The sequence below is a fragment of the Homo sapiens genome, chromosome 12, assembly GCF_000001405.40.
Source record: "Homo sapiens chromosome 12, GRCh38.p14 Primary Assembly".
NCBI lineage: Eukaryota > Metazoa > Chordata > Mammalia > Primates > Hominidae > Homo > Homo sapiens.
This window is the reverse complement of record NC_000012.12, coordinates 7,286,446-7,294,486: the sequence shown is the minus strand read 5'-3', so window position 1 is coordinate 7,294,486 and position 8,041 is coordinate 7,286,446.

The window sequence follows — 8,041 nt, the reverse complement described above, 5'->3', positions numbered from 1 at the left end:
TTATTGTAGCTAAGGAATAATTCATGATTCAACCTGCACTCAAAAGCAAAGTCAAGGCTAGAAACTAGTAACAGGTGTTACAGTTTTCCTTTGAAACAATTTCTCTCTCTCTCTAGCCCTTCTTTCTACTAAAGAAAATTACAGTAAGACCAACTTGTGTTTAAAATAAGTTTTATGCTTATTATACTTGGCCTGATTATTCACATAAAGTGTAGCAATAATATATTAGCCATATAGGCTATTTTCAAGTTGGCTTTGTTGGAACTTTACCTAAAAATATGTTATTTTAGTCCAAGCCTTGGTAAAATAACCAATGTCTCCAATCTTCCTGTTTTAAAAAAAGATTCTTACTAAATTTATGCAGATAACTATATTTTCATGAAATCACAAATAGTTTTTAAATTTTGGAGAACTCAGAGAGAAAGGTAAATTTGCTGACAAAAACATACTTTCTCCAATGGTGCTAAACAATAAATAACTCAGAAGTAAAATATTTCCTTGACTCTTCTTTAACCAGAACAGTAGCCTTCCAAAGAAGATGTTGTTTGTTCACTTTGGAACTGCCATTCTCAAGCCAAGCTGCTCTTGTCAGATAAGAGCTGTCTATCAGGCACTGTAGGATCTGGCAGCTCCTCAAATAGAGTTAGTCCTAGGGAAAAAAAAAAAAAGAGACTCCCTGCTCATAAGTACCTCCTCCTTGCATCACCACATAGCAGGATTCTATATAAACCACTTTTATTTTATCATAGAACTGTTTTGGGCATCATTATTTCCATTAGCATACGAGTAGCTTTAGTTAACATTCCATAGCAAGGCAGTAAATGCCCCTCAAGTGGAAATTCTCCAGTCCAAAGTCCTATGTGCTCATACGTTTTTTGCTATAAGCCCTAATAAATGCTCCACAAAGAGCTATCAAGTGGAGGTTTTATGCTTATTATAAAGTGCTAGTCCTGACTAGTGCTCCAGCTTCTACCCTATATTCTGTGGACTCAGGCAATCTTACTATTAATAGTTCCCATTTAGTGTGTCCAATTAATATTTCTTAAAGGGTCGATTTACATGCCTTCAGTTTTATAGTACTAGGTAGGGGAAACATCCCCCAGTTACATACAATACCCGTTTTCATAAGACATTTGCATAAAGATATCACAACTACCTTACATAAAGTCTGTTTAAACATCTCAAATTTCATAATCCTATCAACCTTTACATTTTTATGTTCTGGTCTCAGGAACTTGTCTTCTTTACCCCTAGACCATTTTACCTTTTCCGGTGAAAAAGGATTTAGGTTTCCAGCAGGGAGTTGAGCGAAGTTACTCAGACCCTTTTGTAAATCTTTATCTTAATTTGCCTCAGCGTTACCCAAGGCAATGTCAGCTTTCTCATTATAACCTTTGCCTTTTGATTTTTCTTAAATTTCTCCAGTCTGAGGCAAATGCAGAACACTGGTTTGTGACCCTTTAAAGCTGGGGACCAGCAGACATTCTCTTGGTCCACTCAACATTTGACAGTGTTGTAAAGACCTTTGTTTTAATTCCATCCATTTTCATTTTATTTATTTCATTTCTTAATAACCATCTAAAGATTTACACCACCCTTCTGGGATGAGTCCTTTGACTTTCTTTTGCCTTTCCCATTTTTGTTTTATTTTGTTAATTACTCTAATGTTTTACTAGCATCTGTAAGACCTATGAGGACGGAAAATTTGATGAGTCTTCTCAAACAATTCTTTGATTCTGTAGGAGTAATGTCACCTGGGGTGCCCATGGAGAAGGGCCCCCTTAACCACAGCATTTACTATAATCTGGGTCATAAGCATTGTCAATGGGAGAGTATCTTGGTCTTCCTAAAGCCAGTCCCACATGACTTGCATATGAAGCATATCAGCTGCTTCATCTGGGGTGCTTCACTTGGCAATTTATAGGGAGAGTTGGGAAGTCTTCTGATATGGTTTGTTGAATTATAATCCCCAGTTTGGAAGAGGGGCCTGGTGGGAGGTGATTGGATCATGGGGACGGACTTGCCACTTGTTTTTCTCATGATAGTGAGTTCTCAAAATATCTGGTTGTTTAAAAGTGTATTGCACTTCCTCCTTCTCACTCCTTCTCCTACTCTGGTCATGTAAGACGTGCCTGTTTTCCTCTCTGACATCCACCATGATTGTAAGTTTCCTGAGGCCTCCACAGCTGTGCTTCCTATACAACCTGCAGAACCAATTAAACCTCTTTTTTTATAAATAACCTAGTCTCAGGTGGTTCTTCATAGCAATGCAATAATGGACTAATACACCTTTTCAGGGTAAACAGACCTTACAGTGGCATTTATCCAGTCCACTAGGCTGGCTATTCTCTCAGGAATAACCTCCTGTGCATCTGAATCACATATACTCATCAGTGATTGTTTAATAGTGAGTTGTGGGTCCTGCATCAACCCAAACATGCCTTTTCATTCTGCGGCATTTAAAATGAAAGATTCTGTCCTTAAAGTAGTTATGATCCGTTATAGTAAAGGTTTCTCAAGAAGCTGATGGAATCTACAAAATGGAACATTTCCTTTACATTATACCCTCTGGTTTTAATGGTTACTTGGTTTTGCCCTTCCCCTACACAACTATCTTGTTGGTAACCACAGGACTCAGAGGTAACTTTTGTTTTCGCTGGTTGAATTTTTCCTTTTGTGGTACCTTTGAGGCTACTGGCCTGAGCTGAGACAGATCCATATTTGAGCTTGGCCCAGCCTTAATGCCCAACCTAGCATTCCTTTTTACTTTCATTTTAGCTATTACATATAACAATAACTAATGTATTGAATATTTTATCTTTTCCTTATTAGTTTGCATTTTCTTATGCATTCAGTGAACTCCCTGTGAGAATGAGTGTGATCCAACTCTAAATTCCACTGGTAATTTTTACCTTTAGTAATTGAATGCAGCCCAGCTACAGCTTCTTAAGATGGGTGACCACGTGGCTGCCCAAGAGTCAAGGTTTCTCATTCCCCACCTTTTTATTTTCTCTTTATACATTTAGTTTTATCAATTTTTATGTATTATAAGCAACTCTTAAATAGTGTGTGAACTAGAAAAATTCATTTTTTTTTGGCAAAAACCACATGCTTGTGTTTTTATAAACTTCACCAAAACCACCTTTGACTCTCCTACTATTTTAACTCTTAGTGATATGGTTTGGCTATGTCCCCACCTAAATCTCATCTTGAATTATAACTCCCACAATTCCCACACATCATGGAGGAATCCAGTAGGAGGCGATTGAATTATGGGGGCAGGTCTTTCCGGCACTGTTCTTCTGATAGGGAACGAGTCTCATGAGATCTGATGGTTTTAAAAATGGGAGTTTTGGCCGGGCACAGTGGCTCATGCCTGTAATCTCAGCACTTTGGGAGGCTTAGGCAGATGGATCACCTGAGGTCAGGAGTTTGAGACCAGCCTGGCAAACATGGTGAAACCCAGTCTCTACTAAAACTACAAAAATTAGTGGGGCATGGTGGTGGGCATCTGTAATCCCAGCTACTCAGGAGGCTGAGGCAGGAGAATCACTTGAAGCCAGGAGGCAGAGTTTGCAGTGAGCCCAGATGGTGCCACTGCACTCCAGCCTTGGCAACAGAGTGAGACTATGACTCAAAAACTAAAACAAAAACAGAAAACACCAGAGTTTCTCTGCACAAGCTCTCCCTTTGCCTGCTGCCATCCATGTAAGATGTGACTTGCTCCTCCTTGCCTTCTGCCATGATTGTGAGGCCTCCCCAGCCACGTGGAAATGTGAGTCTAATTAAACCTCTTTCTTTTGTAAATTGCCCAGTCTCAAGTATGTCTTTATAGGCAGCATGAAAATGAACTAATATGCTTAGTAACCCAAATTCCCAATTAATTTAACAACATGACTTTAAGATTTTTAACTATTGGAGAGAATTTTGATTAAATTTACCAAATTAGTCTTACCAAGTATTACTAAAGTCATGTGAGCTAAAAGGCATCAGAGAGCTAGCTTTTATTAGCCTGGTAAGCACTTTTCTTTAAGCCAATTGATTACAGCTCTTTCATATAGTCGTGGCATATTCTTTCCACATGACACACATAAACATATAGACATACAGACAAAGGCAGATGCAAAATGCTTTTTTATTTACCTATTTTTTAAAAGTTCTCTCCCTTAATTTAGACTATTAATAAAAAAAAAATTTATAGGAGCCAATAAACATTGAAAGAGAGAGTTACCATCCCAGGCCTTCTCAAACGGAAAAGAGCTGAAGCAGCAGGGTACAGCAGAAATTGAACTTCTGAGATATCAATCTAAGAATTGAAAAAACAAAGATTATATAATTTAAAAATAAATTTCTTGCATTAAGAGTAAGTCAATTTTAATAAAATTTTGTCCTAACCAGTTATTTAGTTTTGTATTAGTGTATTTTTAATATCAAAGACCAATTTCTAAAAAGACTATTATAATTTCCTTTTAAGGATAGCCAATTTGATCATATAACTTTTAAAATACTCTTTTGCTAACCTTCTTACAACTTACACAGACCATTCACAACACGCTTAGACTTTCTCTTTTGTCCTTAATATACATCTCTTTTTTGAACAATCGTTTTATTTTAGGACAGAAATTTACCATATAAGATCCTCTCTCATATAAAGTCATTTTTCTTTTATCCTGTATTTACCAAAAAGCACCTCTTTATGTCTCTTATTTCCTGGTTTATTTACCTTGCTTTATATATAATCTTTAAATAGACTTTGAATTAAACACAAAAATTTACCCTTTAATAAGAATACATTTTTTAGAAAAAATGTTTTTCTGCAGTATAATTTTTTAAATTGGAAATTAGACGTTTAATGAATATCTATTATTTAATTTGATATAACTTTAGATTCTAAATTATATGACAAGTTTGTTTACAAGCATTTATTTGATTACATTTGCCCAATTATTTCATTTTTAATAATTTACCTAGTATTCATAAAAACTGTGATAGTCATCATTTAAAATTACTTTTTCTGTTAGCTACTTTTATAGCCTATGAATTTCAGGTGTTTAAGAAACAATGTTAACTCTTTGGATATTACCAATAACTCAGGATTTAGCTGTTTTTATTAAACTAACAATATTAAATGTCTTATTTATCAAAATTAAACTACCAAAGATCATTCTCTTTGGGGCTGAGTTTATAGTTTTATAGCCAAATTTTGACACCTTATAGTTTTTGGCAGGATAAGTGTGAAATCACTTGATCAATAAATGCAAACAAAATGCTGAAAATTCTTAAGAAATCTCTAATATTACTTTACCAATAATTTTAAAGCCAGCTTATTTATCAAAGATTTTACTTAAAGTAAACTTGAAAAGCATTTGGGCTTATTATTAATTTATGAGTATGCCTTAACTGTAAGCCAATTTGGTACCTTTTAACCAAAATATATAACAAAATATGTGTCCATAGGCATAAACACCTGTATACACACTCATACAAAGATCCTATAGCTTTTACATTAGACCTTCAGCCATGACATATTAATACAATCTTACTGGTTTACAAAAATAAAAAACAGCACACAAAAAACATGCATGTATCCAAACAGTAGTATTTATCTCAGTAGAAAAATAACAGCAAATTTAAAGCAGGCAGAAAACCAAATAGAGAAATACAGAATTTAGGAACTAAATGGTTGCAGGTTAACCTTTGGGCTCTGAATTTTTTCTTGATGTAATTTGCCCATCAGTTTAAAATGTGCACAACAGGCCATAATATGGAACCAGCTGGAATACAAGAAAAGCTGGCATGTCTGCAAACTTTTCCATTTTACACAAATGCTTGCAAGTAGAGGAGGCATGAAACCACAGGGTGCTTGAAAAAGGGTTATTCTCCTTATCTTTTTTTAAATTTTATTTATTTATTTATTTTTTTTGTTTTTTTTAAAAATTTTTTGTATTATACTTTAAGTTCTGGGATACATGTGCAGAATACGCAGGTTTGTTACAAAGGTCTACACATGCCGTGGTGGTTTGCTGCACCCATCAAACCATCAGCTATATTAGGTATTTCTCCTAATACTATCTCTCCCCTGGCCCTCTACCTTCCAACAGGCCCTGGTGTGTGATATTCACCTCCCTGTGTCCATGTGTTCTCATTGTTCGACTCCCACTTATGAGTGAGAACATGTGGTGTTTGGTTTTCTGTTCTTGTGTTAGTTTGCTGAGAATGATGGTTTCCAGCTTCATCCATGTCCCTGCAAAGAACATGAACTCATCATTTTTTATGGCTGCATAGTATTTTATGGTATATATGTGCCACATTTTCTTTACCCAGTCTATCATTGATGGGCATTTGGGTTGGTTCCAAGTCTTTGCTATTCTGAACAGTGCCATAATAAACATACGTGTGCATGTGTCTATAGTAGAATGATTTATGCTCCTTTGGGTGTATACCCAGTAATGGGATTGCTAGGTCAAATGGTATTCTGGTTCTAGATCCTTAAGGAATTGCCACACTGTCTTCCACAATGGTTGAACTAATTTACCCTCCCACCAACAGTGTAAAAGCATTTTTATTTCTCCACATCCTTCCAGCAGCTGCTGTTTCCTGACTTTTTAATGAACACCATTCTAACTGGCATGAGATGGTATCTCATTGTGGTTTTGATTTGCATTTCTCTAATGACCAGTGATGATGAGCTTTTTTTCATATGTTTGTTGGCTGCAAAAACGTCTTCTTTTGAGGAGTGTTTGTTCATATACTTCGCCCACTTTTTGATGGGGTTGTTTTTTTTCCAATACTATGTCAGCAGTGGTGAGAGAGGGCATCTTTGTCTTGTGCCATTCTCAAAGGGAATGCTTCCAGCTTTTGCCCATTCAGTATGATATTGGCTGTGAGTTTGTCATAAATAACTCTTATTTTGAAATATGTTCCATCAATACCTAGTTTATTAGGTTTTTAGCATGAATTTTATTGAAGGCATTTTCTGCATCTATTGAGACAATCGTGTGGTTTTTGTCATTGGTTCTGTTCACATGATGGATTACATTTATTGATTTGCATATGTTGAAACAGCCTTGCATTCCAGGGACAAAGTCAACATGATCATGGTGGATAAGCTTTCTGATATGCTGCTGGATTTGATTTGCCAGTATTTTATTGTATTATTTTTTTTTTATTATTGTATTATTTTATTCATCAGGGATATTGGCCTGAAATTTTCCTTTTTTGTTGTGTCTCTGCCAGGTTTTGGTATCAGGATAATGCTGGCCTCATAAAATGAGTTAGGGAGGATTCCCTCTTTTTCTATTTTTTGGAATAGTTTCAGAAGGAATGGTACAAGCTCCTATTTATACCTCTGATAGAATTTGACTGTGAATCTGTCTGGTCCTGGGCTTTTTTTTGGTTGGTATGCTATTAATTTCTGTCTCAATTTTAAAACTTGTTATTGCTCTATTCAGGGATTCCACTTCTTCCTGGTTTACACTTGGGAGGGTGTATGTCCAGGAATTTACCCATTTCTTATAGATTTTCTAGTTTATTTGCACAGAGGTGTTTATAGTATTCTCTGATGGTAGTTTGTATTTCTGTGATATCAGTGGTGATATTGCCTTTATCATTTTGTATTGCATCTATTTGATTCTCCTCTCTTTTCTTCTATATTAGTCTGGCTAGTGGTCTATTATTGGGTTGATCTTTTCAAAAAACCAGCTCCTGGACTCATTGATTTTTTTAAAGGGATTTTCGTGTCTTTATCTCCTTCAGTTCTGCTCTGATCTTACTTATTTCTTGCCTTCTGCTAGCTTTTGAATTTATTTGCTTTTGCGTCTGTACTTCTTTTAATTGTGATGTTAGGGCATCATTTTTGGATCTTTCCTGCTTTCTCTTGTGGGGATTTTTGTGCTATTAATTTACCTGTAAACACTGCTTTAGCTGTGTCCCAGAGATTCTGGTATGTTGTGTCTTTGTTCTCTTTGGTTTCAAAGAACTAGTTTATTTCTGCCTTAATTTTGTTGTTTACCCAGTAGTCATTCAGGAGCAGGTTGTTCAG